The following is a 23,479-nucleotide window of genomic DNA, read 5'->3' on the forward strand; positions in this document are numbered from 1 at the left end:
TATTTAGTAGAGGTGGGCTTTCACCACGTTGGCCAGGCTGGTCTCGAACTCCTGACTTTGTGATCTGCCCACCTCGGCCTCTCAAAGTGCTGAGATTACAGGTGCATGCCACCATGCCCAGCTAATTTTTGTATATTTAGTAGAGGTGGGTTTTCACCACGTTGGCCAGGCTGGTCTCGAACTCCTGACTTCGTGATCCACCCGCCTCATCCTCCCAAAGTGCTGGGATTACAGGCATGAGCCACTATGCCCGGCCAACTCAGTTGTCATTTTTGTAGAAGTTTTTAAAGTGTCTAATATGAATATGTTACCTGTTCATTTGTAAGGGATGTTTCTTTCTGAAAACTTTTAGAAATTTGCCTTTGATATTCTTAAATTTTACTATATAATGTGTCTAAGTATGAAAATGATTCCAATAATAGCTGTACTATTTAACTATGTAAGAATTTGTGTACTCTCCACGTTTTAGCCAAAATTTTTGGAGACATTGATGACTTTGGGTTTTATGAGGGTAGGAACTATGTTTTTCTGTTTCATAGCTGTTATCTTCAGTGCCTAGCGGTGTTCTTAGTATATGGCAGATGTACTAAACAAATATTTGTTGAATGAATGAATAACTGAATCGTCACCCAGGTGACTGGCAACTTTTCTAAGATTTTCTAAAATATATTATTTCTTTTGCAATTTGTCTCAATAACTAGGGATTTTTTTACAGCAGACAAATAAGAAAAAGACATCTAATAGAATTTAACACTAAACTGAGTTAGTTTCAGTAAGTGGTCTACAGGTTATAAGAAATATTAAAAAATACATAGTTAGGAAAAGAACCATGCAAATTACCATTGGCTTATACACTCATATCTGAAATCTGAAAGATACTAGTCTTGGTCAAAAATGCATCAGTATGTATTTATACAGTATGAGTCACTGTATAGTATCACACTATACTTGGTTTACAACCCTTTCTTCCCTGCTAAACTGTGACCAACTTGGAAAAACCATGTTTTTGAAGGAGTAATATAGATGACAAGAAATTTATACTTTATTCCTTTAGACTAGTGATACATACCACAATAATTAAAATACTTAAAAGCAGAAAAAAGTGGTAATTTTAACTTTTTTCCTTCAAGAATATCCTCTTTTATCAATGAATGCTAAGTTAAAACACAAACAAAAGTGGAAGACAGAATGTGGACTTTCTTCGTTTAATTCATCTTTGTTATGGTCTTAGGCTTATTTTGCTTAGTGGAATTATTATTTTCTAATGATATTTGACCATGTGTGAACTTCCCCCATCATCTCCTTTTCTTAACTATCATCTAAAAATACAGTACAAATGTCCACCTTTAACAGGCATGTAAATTTTCAAGGTGCCATAGACTTAGGAACTGACATAGTCTTTCTTTAAGAAAAGTAATACGGCCAGCGCGGTGGCTCATGCCTGTAATCCCAGCACTTTGGGAGGCTGAGGTGGGGGGGATCACAAGGTCAGGAGATCGAGACCATCCTGGCTAACACGGTGAAACCCCGTCTCTACTAAAAATACAAAAAATTAGCCAGGCGTGGTGGTGGGTGCCTGTAATCCCAGCTACTCGGGAGGCCGAGGCAGGAGAATCGCTTGAACCCGGAAGGCAGAGCTTGCAGTGAGGCGAGATCGCGCCTGTGCAATTGCACTCCAGACAGAGCAAGACTCCGTCTCAAAAAAAAAAAAAAAAGAAAGAAAAGTATTAAAAAGGATGACAGAAAAAGAAAAGAGATCCTCTCCTGGTTGTGAATATCAAAAGCCCAAGGACAATTCACAGCCATACAAGGCCTTATTGTGACAACACTAGTAAATGCATAAAAACTTTAAGAAAATGTTTTCGACAGTGAAATTATTGCAGGCTTTTAGATATTGAGAACCTATCTGTGAAACTGAACTATATAAATAATTAATAGTAAGAAAAATAAAGCTCATGTTTTTCTACAGAAATTGAATGAATTATAGAAATTTGAGAAGGTGTTAACAGTCTTGAAAATATGAATTCTTTGGGTTTTGCATTTCCAATGTGCAAAAGTGGTGTGAGATATTTCAACCAGTCTGTCAAATAATCTGTGCATAAATTGGAGAGAGCAGTTCCCCTGAAAGAGTTGCTTTATATTAAAAAAAATAGTATCCAGTTTAAAAATAAACTCACTTACCTTTTACATGCTTTTTATGTTTCCCTGTCTTAATTAATTCCTCAAGTTAATTTCTTTTTAACCAAACACTGTCAATTCCCAGATCATGCCATTGCATTCCAATTTAGGGCAACGTGATAAAAATGATCCTTATAAATGAAGTATAAGATTATATTTGCATTCAGAATCACTATTCAAGTCTGCATATCTTGTAATGGCCATAGAATTCTCTTTACCCTTGTTTCATGGTACCTAAGCTGTCAATTACTTTGGGAACACTTTTGAAAAGTAAAACTTTGGCAATCATCTTTACAAAGTATATAGACATGGTTTAAAATTTGAACCTAAAATATTTAAACCATGTCTATGTAGCTTCTCTTTTGAAAAAGTCTGCCTTGCTTGAAGAATTTAAGCAATCAAAATTCAATTCAAGGAAAGTTGCCAAAGATGAGGTGATGCATTCTAAAATAACTGAGATAAAAGTTATCTTCAGCAGAAATCATATAGAATTTTAGAGTTGAAATGGAGCCTATAGGTCATGTAATCTGAAGACCACTAGTGGAGTCCATGGTAAGAATAGAAAAAATTTTTCACCCTATGATTTCACCATGATTCAAATATGTAATGTTTCCATGAAGATTTACACAATATTGTAAATCTACATTTTGGGAGGGATTATCTTGATGTCCTTCAAATGTAATTCATATTACTTTAGAATCTTTATGGGGTGGAGGAGGTCAATTCTATTATGAATATGTAATTGATTTTTGCAGCTTATTCATTGGAAAAATACAATTTTGTATTTTTCTAGATGGGAAAAAGTCTTTCTGTGGAACTTATATCAGCCAGCTCTCTATGCTACAACATTTTTGGATATGTATGAGGGAAGAATGATAAGGATTAAGTCCGAGTATTATGTCAATATTTTATGTGAAATCTTATTCAATTTATAATTTAACTTTCAATAATTAGTTTTAGCATTTTAAATTTTATTGTAATTAAGTCTGCATTTGTTGTATTTATTAAAGCAATATTAATCTATTGATTTACATTTACATTTTAAACAACCTACCTTTGTTTATTTAAGGCTAACAAAGCTGAGTAGCATGTTCTTATATGGACATGCTAGTGTTTTATGCTGATTATTTTTATAAGAAGTTAATCATATATGACATAAATCTCATGTTTCATGTTTATATTTTTTGCATTTGTCATTAAATTAAAATCTTACATTAAAAAACAAAAGAATGCCAAAAGGAATGCTCCGAACATAACCATATATGCATCATTGACATGCAAATTTTGACATGTAAACAATATAATACAATCCTATTCATTTAAAGAGTTAGAATAAAAGCATGTCTAGGAAGGCAGCTGCTTTGTAAGTAGTCCTATGAGTGGTATAATTATACCACTTCTTTCATCATTCTAGTACTTTGCCACTCATTTGATATTTGACAACTGTGCTGGGATGACTGGAAAATTTGGATGTGTAAAAATAACTTGTTGGATTGGTTTTTACATTTTTTCTAATTTTAAAGTTTTCTAAAAGTTTTGCATTTTACATTTTGTTTTTAATTTACCTGGAATTTAACTTTGTGTATAGGATAAGAAGTTCAACCCTATTTCCCTCCTCTGTGGGAAGTTCCATCACCATTTATTCCTCTGTTCCTTTTTTATGTTTTATCAAAATTGCTTTGATCATTCTTGGCACTTTACGCCTTCATATAAATTTTACAATCCTCTTGTCAAGGTCCAGGGGAAAAAAACCTGCCAGTAATCTGGCAAGGAATTGCACTATGAATAATTTTGGAAAAATTGACATCTATTTTTTTTATACCATGAACATGGTATATCTCTCCTTTATGTAGGTTTACAATATGGTTTTATTATTGCTTCTATAAGCAACTTGCACACATTTTTAGATAATTATTAGCTATTCTTATATATTATTGGTTGCTACTGTAAAAATACATTTTAAAAATTATATTTTCTAACTTGTGTAGCTAGTGTATAGAAATACAGTTGATTTTTATAAATTGCACTTGTATCCTCAAACCATATTGAATTCTCTTATTCTAAAGATTTACTTGCATATTCTCTTGCTTTTTAGGTGAATAATAATATTGTTTGTGAATAGTAGCAGTTTTGGTCTTCCTTCTCAATATCTATAATTTATATATAGTATCTTTTATTATTGAAATGGTTAAGATCAATGATGAGTAGAAGTAGTGATAACAGATATCATTGTGTTTATGGTTTTAAAAAGACAGTGTCTAACATTTCATCATTAACTATCATGCTTGCTGCAGGTTTCGAATAGATACTCTTTATTAAGTTAAGAAATTTTCCTTTATTGCTTTTTTGCTAATATTTGGTTGGATTTTAGAAAATTTTTCGATCTGTTGAGATGACATAATTTTTCTTCTTTATTTCTTAGTGTGGTAAATTTCACTACTAGATTTTCCAGTTTTAAACTATATTTGCATTCTTGAGGTAAACCCAACTTGGTCATGATGCATTATTATTATTATTATTGTTATTATTATTATTCTTGCTAGTATTATTCAAAATTAGATTCAGTTGTCCAGTATTTTGTTTAGAACTTTTGCATATAACTGTAAGTAAAATTTGCTTATAATTTCACTTGTCATGGTGTCCTTATTAAATTTTGCTATCAAGATTTAACCAAGTTTATAAAATAAGTTGGGGAGTGTTCCTTTTCTTGTATTCTCTGGAAGAGTTTATGTGATATTTATCTATTCCCTTTGACATTTGGCAGAACTTTCCTGTACAGTCACTTACATCTGGTCTTTTCTTGGAGGGACATTATCAACTACTGATTCAAGCTTCTCCAACGGTTATGGATTTCTTCAGTGCTTCTTTTCCTTTTTGATTTTTTTTTTTTTTTTTGAGATGGAGTCTCTCTCTGTCGCCAAGGCTGGAGTCCAGTGGGGCCATCTCTGCTCGCTGCAACCTCTGCCTCATGGGTTCAAGCAATTCTCCTGCCTCAGCCTCCTGAGCAGCTGGGACTATAAGCGTGTGCCACCACGCCCAGCTAATTTTTTGTATTTTTAGTAGAGACGGGTTTTCCCTGTGTTAGCCAGGATGGTCTTGATCTCTTGACCTTGTGATTCACCCACCTCAGCCTTCCAAAGTGCTGGGATTATAGGCATGAGCCAGTGTCCGGCTCCTTTTTTATATATTTTTAAAGGCAATATAGATTTGAACACTTGGGCATGAAATCGTTTTTAGTATACTCCCATATTTTTCTGATCTTTGAATTCTCTTTAGCATTGCCCTATTTTCCATTCCTAATGTTTATTTGAGTCTTTTCTCTATTTTTCTTGATTCATCTCACCAGTGGTTTGCCTACTTCATTAATCTTTTCAAAGAATCAACTTTTGGCTTCGTTGATAATTTCTATTGTATTTTTTAAAATTACTCTTTAACTTCTGTTTATTTTTTCCTTTTATTCTAGTTTCTTTAGGATTAGCTTGTTGTCCTTTTTTAAAGTTGGAAGCACAATTAATTTTCAGCTTTTCTTCTTTTTCAATATGAGCATTTTTTACACTTTAGCAATTTCCCACAAACTTTGATATGCAGTATGATTATTCAGTTCTAATGGATGTTGAAACACCAGGACTCAGGGGATGAAATATGAATATAAGTTCATTTATTGGAACAATACTCATTCAAACCCACTTTGAGAACCATTTTTTTCTTCATATTCTTGAAAGGCAACTAGGAAAAGTCTCATGATTCTTCTAGTCTCTCTTGATAATAAAAAAATCCTGGGGTCACTTCTAGCCACTAAAAAGAGACAAACAAAAAGTCAGTTTGGTAAAGTCCATGTAATAAAAAAAATTAAGACTTCAACACTTGTTTAACCTTAAAGACTTCCCCTTTCAGAGCTCACACTTGGTACAGGCAAGTGGTTGGCAGGGGAAAATGTGGGGGTGATTGCTTCTTTTATATGATTTATGCCTCACCTTCCTCTCCTACTTTCTAAGCTGCTTCCAACTTCTTTAGGGATGATTCGGAAAAAGAGACAAAAACAAGGAACAAGGGCCAGGCCAGGATGTGCATGCTTCTTTCTAGCAACCTAGATACAGTTAACCAGGCACTACATTATGCTATTATCTTGGCTTGGAGTTTCTTAGGTAACGCAGATTGTATACATTCAAATCCTAAATTTGAGGGCATAGCTGTGGTTTCAAAATTTCAGAGGGAATTAAGAATACCCCTTCAAAAATCCCATGCCAAGGCAGACAAATCCCTCTTCATCCTCCTTCTTTTCTGCTATCCAGACTTTTTTCTTCTAGCTCACCATTTCACTAAGGATGTTACCTTTCAAGCTTTCTGATTTCAAATGGGAGGCTCAGTTTCAATGTGGGAACTTGTGGGAGCTTAAGACCATGTCTTCTGCTCCCACAAGCCTGTGAAAATTCAGACCTTTTTGTAACTGAGCCAGACAAATGTGTCCAGGAAAGGAGTGGTATAAGTGCCATCTTAATAACTAGTTTTCAGTTCCTTCCTTATTTTTGATCTATGAGTATTTCACGTACTTCTTGAAAGCTCAGCTATGCATTGAGATTTTTTTATTTTTAAAATTTTATAGATTCAGAGGGTACAGTACAGGTTTGTTACATGGGTATATTGCATAATGGTGAGGTTTGCACTTCTAGTGTACCTGTCACTCAGAGTGAAAGTTGTTCCCAACAGATAATTTTTCAACCCTCACCTCTCTCCCATCCTACCCACTTTTGGAGTCCTCTGTGTCTATTATTTCCTTCTGCATGTCCATATGTATCTATTAGTTAGCGCCCACTTTTAAGTGAAAACACGTGGTATTTGATTTTCTGTTTCTGAGTCATTTCACTTAGGATAATGGCCTCCAGCTCCATCCATGTTGCTGCAAAAGACCTGATTTTATTCTTTTTTTTTTTATGGCTGCAATATATTCCATGGTGTTTATATACCACATTTTCTTTATCCAGTCATCTCTTGATAGACACTTAGATCGATTCCATGACGTTGTTATTGTGAACTTTACTGTGGTAACATACAAGTGTGGGTGTCTTTTCAATATAATGATTTATTTTCCTTTGGGTACTCAGTAGTGGGATTCGTGCATCAAATGGTAATTCTACTTTTAGTTCTTTGAGAAATCTCCATACTGTTTTCCATAGAGGTTGTACTAATTTACATTCCCATCAACAGTGTATAAGCATTCGCTTTTATATTTTGAGAGTTTTTATAAACATGTTTCAACCAGTATTTCTTGGTGTTTTGTTGCAGGATTTTTATACTTATCTGACATGAGGTATTAAATGTTCTATTATTTGAGTCTATTTATTGAGTCTATGAAGTAAAAATGGTGTTGGTGAATATTCAAGGTGTAATGATATTCATTATATGGGACCATGATATACTTCTAACACTGACTCTATATATCTTTCACTATACCTCATTCAAGCCTCAAATTTTCCTTTCTTTGGCCGGAGCTTTTTTGTTGTGTTTTGCTTTTTAAACTGTGATAAGAAAGAACATATTATATAAAATGTACCTTCTTAACCATTTTTAAGTGTACGGTTTAATAGTGTTAAGTATGTTCACACTGTTGTGCAACGTTGAGTTTTAAACTTTAAGATTTAGGTTATTTGTGGCAAGGAAGGACAGGTCTATTTTATCTTCTTTCTCTTGCCTTCACTCATCTTTGCTTCCTTATTGGCTGGAACGACGTATGAAGGGAGAAATGCTGCAACCTAAAATCATCTAACTAAAACTCAAAAGACTTAATTTCTTGTGTTGTCTTAGAGTTTCATATCTATTTTTTTCTGGAGCCTTTTTGCTAGATTAACTCACAATTCTGGAGATCTGTCAACCACATACAGATATATATTTGACTTTTGCAGTGTGAAGATAAAGAGAGACTATTTTTTGGCAAATTATTGGTGGGTTTAATCATCCTTCCATGAGCCTGTTTTGAAATGCCTGTGTTATCACCATCTGTGTTATTTTTTTCTCTTTTGTAGTTTTAATTGGCTTAATTTTTGCTAGATCCTCCTTTGCCAAAAGTTTTGTATGTGATTCAGTTCATTCATGTGATTTATCCAACATCACACATATTAACTACAGGAATTCCTTAATATTTTACAAGATATTCAGTTTAACTTTGAAGTGACTGGTCTGACAGCGTTAGATGTTCACAATATCAGCACCTAGACAAGGATGTCAATGCAAAGACAAAAGCTACTGGGGGAAGGAATATTTGAGAATGTCTAACTTTATGAGGCAACTAGTTCACTAGGACATATTTTCATGTCATGATTATTTCTGCTTCAGTATACACTGTAAGTACAGCAGTGAGGTTAAATAATAAACACTCAGAAAATGAGGGCCGGGCGCGGTGGCTCACGCCTGTAATCCCAGCACTTTGGGAGGCCGAGGCGGGCGGATCACGAGGTCAGGAGATCGAGACCATCCCGGCTAAAACGGTGAAACCCCGTCTCTACTAAAAATACAAAAAATTAGCCGGGCGTAGTGGCGGGCGCCTGTAGTCCCAGCTACTTGGGAGGCTGAGGCAGGAGAATGGCGTGAACCCGGGAGGCGGAGCTTGCAGTGAGCCGAGATCCCGCCACTGCACTCCAGCCTGGGCGACAGAGCGAGACTCCGTCTCAAAAAAAAAAAAAAAAAAAAGAAAATGAGGTATCCTCCTCTTTTGTTAGTCACAAGGGTATTCCTTCAACCAGATGATACCTCCCATTTAAATCAAAATTTATTTCTGAATTTGCTTATCACTTCTATTAAGAGGTCTGCTCTGTCAAGAGCTACATCTTAACTCAATGGACCTCTGGAAAAATAAGACAAAATTACACAACTAGTCATTTCAGAGAGGGGAAAAAAATCAAACTTCTTCCCTGGTAGTTGTAGGGGAAAAAAAGAAGCTTGATTAAAATTTCAATTTGCCATTTTGATTTTAGAGACAATGTGAAAAGAGATATAATCCATCAATAACAAGCAGCAGATTTTTCTAGATTTTAAGATTTCCAATATCAGGGTGCATGTCAGAATCAAGAATTACAATTATAATTAGTAGTGTTTTTCGCTGTGTCGCCAGATTAGAGTGCGGTGGCGCAAACTCGGCTCACTGCAACCTCTATAGACCTCCCGGGTTCAAGCGATTCTCCTGCCTCAGCCTCCTGAGTAGCTGGGACTACAGGCATGTGCCACTACGCCCAGCTAATTTTTGTATTTTTATTAGAGACGGGGTTTCACCATATTGGCCAGGATGGTCTTGATCTCTTGACCTCATGATCCGCTCACCTTGGCCTCCCAGAGTGCTGGGATTACAGGCATGAGCCAACCGCGCCCGGCCTATTAGCCAAAATATTAAACTGACATAATGGCTATGTAGAATGCAACTTTCAAGTGGATGCATTCCATTGATAATAATAGTAATAACAACACATATATTCCTTACTATGACCAGCTACTGTTTTAGGAGTTTTACTTAATTATCTAATTTTTTACAATTACCATTTTTAGGTAGTTTACTATTATTAGCTTCACTGTAATGGTGATAGGTGAGTACAATAAAACACGGAGAAGTGATCTGGCCAACAACTCACACATAGATGGCTGAGTTAGATGTTTCACTTAGGCTTAAAGTTATTGCCTGCTGGTAAGCAAACAAGTCATATTTTAAATGAAGCATTTTATGAACACATACTACTAGTTTTTAGTATCTGCCATAGAATTGAGATCTATTTGCAAACAGCCATATTGTTTTCTTAAGACACTACTGTAGGCAGAATAATGATCCCCCAAAGATGTTTATCTCCTAATTTCCGGAATTCGTGAATATATTAGCTTACATGGCAAAAGGATTCTGCTGATGTGATCAAGGGCAGAGACCTGGAAATGGGAAGATGATCCTGGATTACTCAGGTGAGCCCTCAGAATCTTTTCCAGCTGCAATCAGCGGTAGACTTGAGGATGGAAGGTTCAGAGAGATGGCATATCACTGGCTTTGAAGATGGAGGAAGGGACCAAAGCCAAGGAATGTGGACAGAAGCTGGCAAAGGCAAGCTAAGGATTGTCCTGTGGAGTCACCAGAAAGGAGTGCAGCCCGGGTGACACCCAGGTAGCACTTCTGATCTACAGAACCGTGAGATAATAAATGCATTGTCTGTCAGATGATAAATTTGTGCTGTTTCAAGCTACAAAGTTTGTGGTTTTTGGTTATTGTGGCAATAGGGAACGGATACAGGCCCTGTCAGGTATTTCACTCAATCCATGAAATACCTTACAGTATACAAATTTTAACATGCGCGGGAGCCACTTACGGATCCGTCTATCTGTGCTGCCTGGGAGTGTCAAGAGGCCGTGTCCTTCATTCACCTCGCGCGTGGGCGGCGCTGCCCTGAAGATGCTCCCGGGCTCAGTGCAGACGGCTCAGCGTTCTCTCGCGTTCAACGAACCGCCAGAAACGTCAGATGGTACGGAGGAAAACACTTTACACTTTAACAGTATTTTTACGTTTATTTGCAGCAAATGTTGTTGGCTTTGTATTTAAAGTATTTATGACTCACTATAAAGTGTAGGATCCAAGAAAACGCGCTAGTTTCACTTGGCCCCCGTGGCTGTCCCGGGGAGCTCTCCAAGGAAGGACTGGTTCCTGAAGTTCCTGGGGTGCTGCACCACCACGGAAGAACCAAGCTCCACAGAGAAGCCAGAAGCCGCGACCGCGGGGACGCTCTCTGCCAGGCCTCCACCGCCTCAGCGGCCCTTTACAGCCACCGCATTCTCCATGCCCCCAGTTATTTCTAGCTTCGCACAGCGCCCGGCCCACCGAGCGACCTCAAACCTCGCGACACTCGCAACTCCCGAGGCCCTTCCTGCTACTGGCCTCAGAGGGAAGAGACATCGGGAAGATTGCTCCGCCCACAGAAAGGAAGATTTCGTTCTCGCGAGATCCCAATGACAATTCGGGAGCCCGTTCTCGCGGGATTTTCCAAGACCGGGTTGGAATTTGCGGGGGTTAGGAGACGGAAGTCAGAGCCTAGGAAGATTTGGGGGTCGCCTTGCCGGCCTCCTGTCCTCCTCCGGCGGCGGCGGAGCCCGAGAGAACTAGGTGAACACCGCTTTGCCAGCCTCACACAGCGTCCCCTGGCTCTGCCGCCGCTCCGGACGTCGCCCTCCCGTTCTGCTTGGGTCCCCTTAGTCGCTACCTTTGCTGGGATCCCCCTCCTCCATCCTGTGGCTTCGGGTTGCCGAAGAGCGATGCTCGGAGGGCGGCCGGAAGTGGCGTTGGCCGCCATTGGCCTGCCGGCCAGCCACCTTGCTGTCCTCCGCCGCCTTCCGGGTGTTACATGCAGCCGGGCTCGGCCCCTCCCCCTGGCCGGATGGATCCGTCGGCGCCACAGCCCCGCGCGGAAACCTCAGGCAAAGGTACCAGCTCCGCGCTCGCCCCTTACGCAGAGGCCTGTGTACTGCGTCGCGTTGGACCAGTTCTTGCCGGTGCCCTTCGGGTTGGGGTTTTGCCCTGTAGATCCTCTTCAGTGACAGCTGCAGATTGTGAACCCCTCCAGGCCTGGAACCAAATCTCCGATTCAGTGTTGAGAACCTGGACTCGGGAGTCAGCCCCTGGGATCTAGTGCTGCCTCTGACAGTTACTTGCTGAGCAACTTTGGGCAGGCTCCTCATCTGTAAAACTGGGTTCATTACTAGGTTCTTGCGATTATTAAATGACGTGGGGAATACGCAAAGTATTTATGTGACCCCGCGTGTGGCCCATATTAAGCACTCAGTAAATGTTATTTTCATTCTTTATTCTTGTATGCCCCAGTTGTTAGTGAATGGCAGAAGTTTGTTGTAAGTAGATAAATGAAGGTTGAGATATTTAGTTCAGTTGAGTTTTATTGCCTATTGAGTCAGGGCATTATATTCTGCCTTAAATAGGAGGTTTAAAGAAGGTGTGATTATCTACCACAAGTCACCTGGGATGCCTTCTGGCACCCAAATGAGTAGTTTTCATTAATAATTGTGCTGTATAACAAAAGCTACCAGGTATTGAGTGATTTTCCTGAGCCCAGCAATATGCTGATTGTTTACTTGCTTTCCTTTGAGGAAGATATCGATCTCATTAAATAGATGAATTCAGAGCTAAAGTTCAGAGAGGGCAAGTTACAAGCCTGAATTCTGAGGTCTAGGAATTGATGACGCTGTAATTCAGGGACCAAACATATAAATACCTATAGGAGACTGGCAGCTAAAAATAGATGAAGCTGCCGAGTGGATATTGTGACTGGGAGGCTCATTCCTTTTGATAAATCTAGTCACTCTTGGTATTTAGGGAAATTGGTGGAAGGAGCAGAAAGCTCCAGGGCCCCGAGGTGGGAACACCCTTGAGGAATGCTTGAGGAGGCCTTTGGAGTGAAAGAGGGAGAGAGAGACCCTATCACCAGAATGAGTTGAGTTGGTAATTAGTTTAAACCAAAACAAATGATTTCGACTCATTAAATTTTAGGACACTTAACCCATTTCCCTGTTAAATCCAACAGGAAATCTTAACAATTTAAGCAGTTGTTCTGTAGTTTGGATACTGAGAGATTCCATTTCTAACTCAACTGAATTTATTTCGTCCTAGAAATTATCCGAACTCAAACCCAAAATACTCCAATAAGTTGTGTGATTCCCTTAAGGCTTTTTTTTTTTTGCACATGCTGTACACTTATCTGAGATACAGTTCTTAGACCCCTTTCCCTTTTAAATTACATTTCTCAATACTCCCTTCTCATAGCACTCTTCTTCCAATGCAGTTTTTACAGTTATGTATATGTTGGTGTACTTTTTAGTTTTCTCGCAAGATATCAAGGATTTGTGAGATTGATAATTTGTAATAGGCCAGGCGCATGGCTCACACCTGTAATCCCAGTACTTTGGGGAAGCTTAGGCGGGAGGATAGTTTGAGGCCAGCCTGGACAACATAAGCGAGACCCTGTCTCTACTAAAAATAAAAAATTTAGCCAGGCATGGTGGTGCACACCTGTAGTCCCAGCTACTCAGGAGGCTGAGGCGGGAGGATGGCTGAGCTCAGGAGTTGGAGTTTACAGTGAGCTATAATTGTGCCATGACACTCCAGACTGGGCGACAGAGACACTCTTGTCTAAAAAAAAAAAGAAAAAAAAAAGAATGTGTAATAAATTCGCATGTTCACTGAATGTCTGCTGTGTGACTCTGTGTTGGTCCTGGGGATAAAATTTATAACAGTACAAACTTTTCTTGGAAAGGAAATTACTCTCTACTGGAAGGAAAAGACAAAAAACCAGTGGACATGATAATTAAATGTTATGATAAGTGCTACAGAGGCAATAAAATGATGAGATAGAGAATAATGGGTACCCTACGCTAAATAGGTGGACTGGGAGCAGAGAGACTGGTTAGGCATAATTTAGGGAAAGTTGATGGTGGCATGCTTTAAGACAGAGGTCTGCAAACTACTGCCTGTGGGCTAAAACTGGTCTGACACTTTTTTTTGTAAATAAAGTTTTATTGGAACACAACTGTGCCCATTTGTTTATGTATTGTCTGGTTGCTTTTGCATTACAAGGGCAAGAGACTGTATGGCCTACAAAATCTAAAGTAACAAATAGCTAATAACTGACTCTAGAGAAAATGTTTGCCAGCCTTTGCTTTAGAGAGATAGTGGCATGGAGGAAAGTGATTCATTTTTGAAGTAGAACCAGGATATTCTGATGGATTGGATGTAAGGAGTAATATTAAATGAGGTTTAAGGGCTGACTAATGGTTTTCTACCTTGAAAAGTTGGTTAGATGATGATGCCAGTTTTTTGTTTTTTTTTAAATGCCAGCTTTTTTTTTTATTATACTTTAAGTTTTAGGGTACGTGTGCACAATGTGCAGGTTAGTTACATATGTATACATGTGCCATGCTGGTGTGCTGCACCCATTAACTTGTCATTTAGCATTAGGTATATCTCCTAAAGCTATCCCTCCCCCCTTCCCCCCACCCCACAACAGTCCCCAGAGTGTGATGTTCCCCTTCCTGTGTCCATGTGTTCTCATTGTTCAATTCCCACCTATGAGTGAGAATCTGCGGTGTTTGGTTTTTTGTTCTTGCGATAGTTTACTGAGAATGATGATTTCCAGTTTCATCCATGTCCCTACAAAGGACATGAACTCATCATTTTTTATGGCTGCATAGTATTCCATGGTGTATATGTGCCACATTTTCTTAATCCAGTCTATCATTGTTGGACATTTGGGTTGGTTCCAAGTCTGCTATTGTGAATAGTGCCGCAATAAACATACGTGTGCATGTGTCTTTATAGCAGCATGATTTATAGTCCTTTGGGTATATACCCAGTAATGGGATGGCTGGGTCAAATGGTATTTCTAGTTCTAGATCCCTGAGGAATTGCCACACTGACTTCCACAATGGTTGAACTAGTTTACAGTCCCACCAACAGTGTAAAAGTGTTCCTATTTCTCCACATCCTCTCCAGCACCTGTTGTTTCCTGACTTTTTAATGATTGCCATTCTAACTGGTGTGAGATGGTATCTCATTGTGGCTTTGATTTGCATTTCTCTGAGATGATGCCAGTTAATAAGATGCAGGAAGACTATTAGTCACCATCATTTTTGACATTAGTTTTCTTCATTTTATACCCATTGTGTGGTATAATATTTGGTGAATAATTTGTGCTTAAATCACATATGTTGAATAATAGATAATAAAATAAGTCTTAAGAAATGATAGGGTAGGCAAACACATAATGGGAAATATAAGTAATGTGTTAAGAATTGCTGTAAGGGTTGCTTTAGGTTTTAAGGTGCAAATAGTACTGTTATGAAAATTGGGCCCATTGACCTATATGTTGTTCTACTTGTACAGTGGATCGAGGCTTTAGTTTGACATTAAAACACTCTTTTAGAATGGTGTAACAGTTGTCAACAGTTTGGGTCCAGAGAGTAGAGTGGGAGAGAAGGTTTTTCCCTCTGTACTCATTATTGTTATGGTAAAATAACCTCATCAAAGTTAGTGGCTTTACTTTTAAGGAACAACTGATGGATGAGGAATTTAATGAGCTATTCTTGCTTTAGATAGTATAAACATGTCATGTTGTAGTTATAAATATCTAACTGGAGGTCATCAGGAAGACCCTAGGAAACTGCCAGTGGTTATCTGATCTCAGTGAGAAATGTATAGGAAAAATAATTCCTAGTGTTCTTATGTTTGTAGCCATAGAATTATTTTTGGATTCTTGCCATAAGAAATTCCATTTGGAAAATTATTTTTACTTAGTTTTCTTTATTTGATACTTTTTAATTGTACCAATAGTATACTGTGGACTCCCTCCTCATTCATAGTGGTATATTTTCTGGGAAAATAAAATAGCTGTATGGTTAGTCACAGAATAAGTTCATAAAGAGAGAGGTAATACTCTTTAAAGTGTAATAGGATCTTTGCAGAAAGAGATCTTAGAATTCATCTCTTAAAGTAAATATTCAAAACCCGGAAGAGGAAAAGCTGTGACATCACTGTAGTTGAATTGGAGGTTCCCATGGTTAGCTGTATACAAGCAGTGGTTAAAGTAAAGGCTTAGAGGCAACAATATTGCAGTGAAAAGAAACAGCTGTTTCTAGAGAAAGGCAATGGAATAACTGTAAAAAAGACAGATGAACCACAAAGCATTGCTGTCCAGAGGATTTTAGTTTACTCATTACCAAGTCCTATTCACGATTACTCTACCATATCATGAAATATATGTATATATATATGTTCATGAGTCAGGAAGAATATTTTAGTCAGTGGCTCTCAACCCTGGCTGTGCGTCAGAATGATCTTTTGAATTCAACAATAACAACCAAACAAAACAATAAAACCAGATGCCCGTGACCCCTATCCACTGAATAAGAATCACTAGAGGTGGTGTCTAAGAATGTATATTTTTAAACTCCAGGGGAGATGATGACACACAGTTAGGGTAAGAACCACTGGAAATAAAGTATGTACCCTTTATTCTGTTTATTATAGGAGAATATCTGAAAATCTATTTTAGAAAAATATCTATACATGTTAGAATTTATCTTGTTCCAGTTTTTTGGAAAAGGCATTTATGTGAGGTATATATTGTTTCTCACAGCTGTGAATAAATGAGGTGTTACTTTATAAGCTAGCTTTGGAAACTTTATTTTCTTTATTCTTGCAGACATATGGCATCCAGGAGAAAGATGTCTTGCCCCTTCTCCAGATAATGGAAAACTTTGTGAAGCAAGCATAAAATCTATCACAGTGGATGAAAATGGCAAGTCATTTGCAGTCGTCTTATATGCAGATTTTCAAGAAAGGAAAATACCTCTTAAACAGCTTCAAGAAGTGAAATTTGTTAAAGATTGCCCTAGGAATCTTATATTTGATGATGAAGATTTAGAAAAACCTTATTTCCCAAACCGAAAATTTCCATCATCTTCTGTTGCTTTTAAATTATCTGACAATGGAGACTCTATTCCTTATACCATCAATAGGTATTTGAGAGACTACCAAAGAGAAGGAACCCGGTTTCTTTATGGACACTACATCCATGGAGGAGGGTGCATTCTGGGTGATGACATGGGACTTGGAAAAACAGTACAGGTATTTAATTATGTTATAACAGTAAAGTCACTTTACTGTGTACATGAGTGGATACTATATGTAAATCTTTATTTGTACTGCTGTTACGATAGCTATTTTGTGTGTTCCTGTGTATGTTTGTGTTTGTCTCACTAACTAGATAGTGAAGTCCTCAAAGTTGAGGACAATGTCTCAGTTATTTTATCATTCTTCAGTACCTATGAAATATTTTATTCCAAAATAATGTTTTGGTACCACTTGGTTTGATTTTACCTTTGGTAATACTGGTACTAAGATATCAATATATTTGAAGTCATTTAACTTTCTTCATACTTAATGGAAGGAAAGCATTCTAACATTTGTTATGCCACATAGCATGGTTAAATTGTTCCTATAGGCCTTTTGTGCATATTGTTCGAAGTTTATCATGTTAGAAGTTTCTTAATCTGGAATCCCTGGGTCACTAGCAGTTCTGTTTGTGAACTTCAGAGAGACTTCAAGATTCCCTAAAATGTGTACTAGAATTTGTACACATACATACTTTCCTAAAGAGGGGATTTGTTGTAGTTAATCTGTTTCTGTATAACAAATTATGCCAAATTTAGCAGCTTAAAACAATATTCATGTATTGTCTCACAGTTTCTGTGGGTTGGGAATCCAGCTGCCGCCTAGCCTGGTCCTGTAGCTTTGCCTCTCACAGGGCTGCAGTCATCTCAAGGTGACTGGGGAAGATTCACTTCCTAGCCCACCTGTTTGTTGGCAGGATTCAGTTCCTTGTGGGTTCTTGGCCTCAGTTTCTTGTGAGCTGTTGGCTGGAGGCCTCCTTTGCTTCCTTGACACATGGACCTCTTCATGGGGCATCTCACACAAGGTAGCTTGCTTCATAAAAGGAGAGCAAGTAGGAGGGCAAGAGACAGCACTAGTAAAACAGAAGTCATAGTCTTTGGTGATGTAATAACACAAGAGACATCCCTTCACTTTTGTCACATTCTTCTCATTAGAAGCAAGTTGCTAAGTCCAGCCAGAACTCAAGGGAAGGAGATTAAACAGGACTGGGAATATGAAGAGGTGGGTATTATTGGGAGTCCTGTCAGAAGCTGCCTGCTACAGGGTCTTTAGCTTTCCTTAGATTTTCAAAGAGGTTTGTGATCCAAGAAGAATAGAGTTTTGAATCTAGATTTTATACTAAACGATCACTTTAGATTTTCAGGAGTGTGTGCCTAGTTTGTGATTAAGTTATTCTGCTTCCTTTCTTATAATTGAGTTTAACTTATTTTCTTCTTCATATTACCTCCATTAGTTATTGGAACTCAAAGGTTTAAGTGGAAAACTAAATTTAACATTTATAAATAGCCAAATTTCAGACACCAATGATGGAATAAGGAAAAAGAAAAGAAAAAAAAAATAGCCAAATAATGCTACTGTGTGTAAAGGTCTGGTGTGAAAAACTAGGCTAAAATAAAGTCTTTTAATAATCATATTACCATTAACCATACTCTATGTTCCTTCAAGCCTAGGCAGTGCAGATAGTTTAGACATGCACACTGGACGTGCTAAATGATTGTTTGTGGAATAAATGAATTTACCTTCTTCGTTTATTCCACAAACTATCATTTAGCATGCCGGCCTGTAGGTGGAGGATAGACAGCAAGAATAAAGAAAGGAGCCTTCAAGAAATTACCTCTGAAACTGACCCAACAGTCCCACAGACAGTTTTGTTTGTTTGTTTGCTTGTTTTTGGATAAACATAGAAATTGACCCTTCTGGTCCTAAAGCTTTAAACTTGTATTTGTTTTATCTGAGTTCCTTCCTCAGGAAAGGACCCCCAGGCCTCTCAAAAAGTATCAAAGAACTGAAACTCACCAGATCGTAGAATTCAGACAGTGAGACACCAGGCCTCTCATTCATCAGATTACTTCCTTAGCCCTCCCAACTTCCTGTTTTCCCATACATTGTTACATTTCTTCTCTGCTGTAAAAACTCCTAATTTTAATCAGGGAGATGGATTTGAGACTGATCCTTGGCTACAGTGCCTGATTAAAGCATTTTTCCTTGGCAATACGTGTTGTCTCAGTGATTGGCTGGCTGTATGGTGAGCAGCAGGTCTTAGACCGAACCCGTGGTGTTTCAGTAACGCCATCTGTGACCAAGATTACAGATGAGTACTAGAGGAAAATTAATAAATTAATTAAAGCCCTGCTGTAACTGTTTTCGCATATACTTCTACTGTTTTTGCCTGTGGTAGAATGTTTGTTACCACAATTCTTTGATTAGCCAGTGCATGTTCAACTTCAAAATAAACATGAGGCTGGGTTTGGTGGTTCACACCTGTAATCCCAGCACTTTGGGAGGCCAAGGCGGGCGGATCACGAGGTCAAGAGATCAAGACCATCCTGGCCAACATGGTGAAACCCCATCTCTACAAAAATACAAAAATTAGCTGGGCATGGTGGCCCACGCCTGTAGTCCCAGCTACTTGGGAAGCCAAGGCAGGAGAATCTCTTGAACCTGGGAGGCAGAGGTTGCAGTAAGTCGAGATTGTGCCACTGCACTCCAGTCTGGCAACAGAGTGAGACTCTGTCTCACATACAAAAAAAGAAGAAACATGAGGGTACTACATACAAAAAGTGATCTGTTTGGGAACCACCATCCTGCAGCTTAAATACAATTCGAATTCAAATTCTTGCGCACATTTTAGTCTCAAATTTGAAGGCTGTCTTTCATCTCTGAGGCCCATGTTACAAAGAAATTTACTTTATTTTACAGTTCATAGGATTATTTTTAAAGGAGCTGATTTTACTGCAGAATTTTCTATTCCTGATACACTGTAATCATTGAAGGACTTGGAGATGTTCTGGTACATGCTGTTAGTGTGCTGTGCAAGTCTTTGAGGGAGTACCGTCTGAAGATTAGGAAATGGTTTCTGCACTAATTTTGATACTCAGATGGATTTGTCTGATGCTTGGGGACCTAGTTCTCTGGTTACTGTTGTTGTAACTCAGGGAATAATTTCTACATAGATAGGTGGTTTGAAAGACCCATTTAAGGTAGAGCTTCTATAGATAGATAAAGCTTCTATAGATATGACTAAGCCAGTTGAAGAAATGTGAATGATTACTGTGTTAACTAAAATTTCAGAATGTAGTAAAATTAATTGATAATGAAAATAGACCATTGACATTTACTGTTTGAGCTATAGTTTTATCTTCTTTTCTTCTTTTTTTTTTTTCCTGTTTCTTGATTTCATCCCTTTAGTTTCCCCCTTTTTATATTCTAATTTGGCCATGATATGAAACTGAAGTCTTTTTAAAGCTTGTTTTACATACCAAATAAAGTTTCCTTCCCTCATTTCAAATTTAAAAGTAGGTGAATTTAATATTTTACACTCTACAGGGGATGAGAATTGAAAAATGTCCATTTGTTCTAGTGACATAGAAATCATTGGTATGCTGAGCAAGAGCCATTTTGCTGGAGCTTTCAGACACAAGCCATAATGGAGTAGGTGAAGACGTGGACATAGAAAGAACGTATATTTACCTCTTTAAGAAATATGGCTTCGAAAGGGAATAAAAGTGACCTAGTAGTAGGTGAAGAGAGAGACGAGAATTTGAGGGGGTTTCTTTTTTGTTTGTTTTGTATTGTTTGGGGGTAGGAAAGACTTGAGTATTTTTAAGGTGAATTGGAAGGACAGATCTGGTGAAGAGGGCACAGATAAATATGCAACATACATAATGATATGCCCACATATACATGTACTTCTGTAAACACACACACAAACATACATATGCAAAAAATGGAGTCACATAATAACTACTATCTTATAAGCAGGTTGCAGATTTTTTTTTGTCAAAGATTATGAACTAATTTTTCCCGATACCTTCTGACATTTTTCTAAAACATAGAAGAGTTAAAAGAATGGTACAATGAAAAGCCATATTCTCACCACTTAGATTCTGTTAATATTTCATTATACATGGTTTTGTAATATCCATCCATCTTTTGTTGCATTTTAAAATAGCAGACATTAATACATTTTATCCCACATACACATATCCAAGAAAAGATCATCACAGCCAAGACGATGAACATGTCTATCACTCCTAGATTTCCTCATGTCCATTGTGCCCTTGATATGTTCAACACCATGCAGTTCATCACCTACTATTTTTGGTTTTAGTGGGACTGAAAAATTAAAGATACTTGAGGAAATTTTAATACAAAATCCAAGATTTTTATGACTATCTCCCAATATTTCACAGAATTTTCACATCTAATTCAACAGGTAACTTGAAAATGAATCCCTTTTGTACATTTACGTGATAATTAGCTAGTTTAAGTACAATAAACAATTTCACTGGAGTATACAGGTTTGGGAACCTGACCTTTGGTAATCAGACAACTCAGTGATAGGAAAAGAGGTGAGTGGGTGCTTACCATGGAGTAGTGGTTCTCTAAAGTGGATATTTGGGTCAGCAGCATTAGTGTCACCTGGGAACTTGTTAGGATTGTAAATTCCGGGGTCTCACTGCAGACATACTGAATTGTGAACTCGGTGGGAGTAGGAGAGGATGGCAATCTGTGTTTTAACAGATGCTTCAGGTAATTCCAAGGCCCACTAAAGTTTCAGAGCCTTTGCTCAGACGGTGTGTTTTTCAGAGGGTTAGAAAACTTTGATTAATCTGGTGAGTTCAGTGAACATTGGTTAAGGGATGTTTGGTCTACGTGAATCTTTTTTGTTGTTGTTCTCTTTTTGTTTTTTTGAGATGGGGGTCTCACTCTGGCATTCAGGGTGGAGTGCAGTAGCGAGATCTCGGCTCACTGCAAAGTCCACCTCCGGGGCCCAAGCGATCTTCCCACCTCAGCCTCCCAAGTAGCTGGGACCATAGTTGCTCACCACCACGCCCAGCTAATTTTTTGTATTTTTGGTAGAGATGGGGTTTTCCCGAGTTGCCCAGGCTGGTCTTGAACTCCTGAGCTCAAGTGATCTGCCTGCCTTGACCTCTCAAAGTGCTGGGATTACAGGCAGGAACTACTGTGCCTGGCCTCTGTGTTAATATGTATACATAGGATGATGATCATTTCATTTAAAAAAAAAATACATTTAGAAATGGAAATGATATTAGAGATAATTTTGTTCAGCTTTTTAACTTAGTACGTAAAACAGGCACAGGAATGACTTCCCTATCTAGGGTCAGGCACAGAAGTAATAATTTTCATTTCTATTCTAGAACTGTTATTTTTTTCCTCTTCTATCATCTACTGCCTTCTTTTGACTTAATAATACAGTTAATTAAAAGCCTTTTACTCAACTTTTAACCATTTGTTCAATTGGTTGACATTTGATAAGTACTCACTCTGGGCCAGGCACTGTGATTGGCACTGAAGAGCCAATATGAATATAAATGCATATAATACCTACTGTGATGGTTACTAGTGAGTGTCAACTTGATTGGATTGAAGGATACAAAGTATTGATCTAGGTTGTGTCTGTGAGGGTGATGCCAAAAGAGATTAATATTTGAGTCAGTGGGCTGGGAAAGACAGACCCATCCTTAATCTGGCAGGCACAGTCTTATCAGCTGCCAGCGTGGCTAGAAGTAAGCAGGCAGAAAAATGTGAAGAGAGAGACTGGCCTAGCCTCCCAGCCTGCATCTTTCTCCCATGCTGGATGCTTCCTGTCCTTGAACGTCGGACTCAAGTTCTTCAGTTTTGGAACTTGGACTGGCTCTCCTTGCTCTTCAGCCTGCAGACATGCTATTGTGGCACTTCGTGATCGTGTGAGATAGTACTTAATAAACTCCTCATATATCTCTATTCCATTAGTTCTGTCCCTCTAGAGAACCCTAATACACCTGCCTTACAGAGTTCACAAAAGAGTAATAAAAGGAAATGAGGCCAAGAGTCATCTAGTCTGGTAAGTGGGTTGGGGGGGAGAAACAAGCCTGCCTGGGGGTGTCAAAGAAGACTCCACAGGGAAATTGGTGTTTTCATACTTTGCTTTTGGAAACCCACCAAACTTTGAGTTTTGAATTGAGTTTTAATGAATTTTATTTTTTACTGAAGGCATAGCTCTAATATAGTATTTGAAAGGTTTATCACAAGAGAAGAGCTCAAATTCATTGAATCAAAATAATTTAGTTTTTAATGGTAGTGTGGTAATTAGCTTTTACAGACACCAAAATCTTAAGGACTACTATTAAGCAGATGCAGTAATATGTCTTACCATATTATTTTATTTTCTCATCTGCTATGCAAAGAAGATAATAGTACTTTTTGAGTAGCAGAGATAGAATTTTGCAAAGCATGAAGACATTCTTTGAATTTTTGTTTCTATATTATTAGATATTACATTATTGAAAATGTCATTACTGAAGGCTGTCTTATTAAAAAGATGTATAGTAAACCTCACTCTTGAGAGAAATGGGATTGCTGATAATTAAAGGTTTCTTAGGTTATTTTCAGTACCTTTTTTGGATAATAAGATCTTCAGTAGATTCAAAACATACTAAAATATGAAGGTTCTTGGGATCTCAAGTCATGTTATTCACTCAGGAATATAGTAATAAAGAGAAAAATAATATTGTCTTTATTTTCATTCATTGAGAAAATGCTATAATATCCAGTGTGGAAGGTTAATTAGCCCCCAGATCCCTGAGCCCTTTTAAGCAGAAACAA

At 38.0% G+C, this 23,479-nt stretch overlaps 1 protein-coding gene and 1 long non-coding RNA gene across 16 annotated transcripts in view, besides 6 other annotated features; one reads left to right on the top strand and one right to left on the bottom strand.

The window, feature by feature from the left end:
* Positions 1–11,509, bottom strand: part of ERCC6L2-AS1 (ERCC6L2 antisense RNA 1) — a 69,890-nt gene extending 58,381 nt beyond the window's left edge. Inside the window, exons 1-3 of one of the 2 annotated variants that reach the window (NR_023389.1) lie at positions 10,512–11,509; positions 10,041–10,154; positions 5,816–5,973 (exon numbers count right to left, since the gene is read on the bottom strand). This is a non-coding gene — a long non-coding RNA (ERCC6L2 antisense RNA 1). Of the gene's footprint in view, positions 1–5,815; positions 5,974–10,040; positions 10,155–10,511 lie in introns of those variants that run through there. The other variant, NR_023390.1, reaches the window with a different exon arrangement.
* Positions 10,394–10,523: an enhancer, noted in NCBI's record as "active region_28643". NCBI's record gives its function as "activates an Ori minimal core promoter by ATAC-STARR-seq in GM12878 lymphoblastoid cells {active_cell/tissue: GM12878}" and the evidence as "EXISTENCE:reporter gene assay evidence [ECO:0000049][PMID:35858748]".
* Positions 10,754–10,803: an enhancer, noted in NCBI's record as "active region_28644". NCBI's record gives its function as "activates an Ori minimal core promoter by ATAC-STARR-seq in GM12878 lymphoblastoid cells {active_cell/tissue: GM12878}" and the evidence as "EXISTENCE:reporter gene assay evidence [ECO:0000049][PMID:35858748]".
* Positions 10,844–10,943: an enhancer, noted in NCBI's record as "active region_28645". NCBI's record gives its function as "activates an Ori minimal core promoter by ATAC-STARR-seq in GM12878 lymphoblastoid cells {active_cell/tissue: GM12878}" and the evidence as "EXISTENCE:reporter gene assay evidence [ECO:0000049][PMID:35858748]".
* Positions 11,078–11,952: an enhancer, noted in NCBI's record as "H3K27ac hESC enhancer chr9:98637828-98638702 (GRCh37/hg19 assembly coordinates)". NCBI's record gives its function as "activates a minimal SCP1, AML or CMV promoter by ChIP-STARR-seq in primed H9 embryonic stem cells {active_cell/tissue: H9 hESC(primed)}" and the evidence as "EXISTENCE:reporter gene assay evidence [ECO:0000049][PMID:30033119]".
* Positions 11,084–11,313: an enhancer, noted in NCBI's record as "active region_28646". NCBI's record gives its function as "activates an Ori minimal core promoter by ATAC-STARR-seq in GM12878 lymphoblastoid cells {active_cell/tissue: GM12878}" and the evidence as "EXISTENCE:reporter gene assay evidence [ECO:0000049][PMID:35858748]".
* The window catches only part of ERCC6L2 (ERCC excision repair 6 like 2), a 165,402-nt gene continuing 153,145 nt past the window's right edge, over positions 11,223–23,479 (top strand). For all 14 annotated transcript variants that reach the window (NR_164677.1, NM_001375291.1, XM_047423357.1 and 11 more), the window contains exons 1-2: positions 11,223–11,616; positions 16,401–16,825. Coding sequence is in view for 13 of the 14 variants with exons in the window: in XM_047423357.1 (XP_047279313.1) it covers positions 11,538–11,616; positions 16,401–16,825 (504 nt within the window). In the remaining variant the exon portion in view is untranslated. The remainder of the gene's footprint in view (positions 11,617–16,400; positions 16,826–23,479) is intronic.
* Positions 11,374–11,433: an enhancer, noted in NCBI's record as "active region_28647". NCBI's record gives its function as "activates an Ori minimal core promoter by ATAC-STARR-seq in GM12878 lymphoblastoid cells {active_cell/tissue: GM12878}" and the evidence as "EXISTENCE:reporter gene assay evidence [ECO:0000049][PMID:35858748]".

This window comes from Homo sapiens, chromosome 9, assembly GCF_000001405.40.
Source record: "Homo sapiens chromosome 9, GRCh38.p14 Primary Assembly".
NCBI lineage: Eukaryota > Metazoa > Chordata > Mammalia > Primates > Hominidae > Homo > Homo sapiens.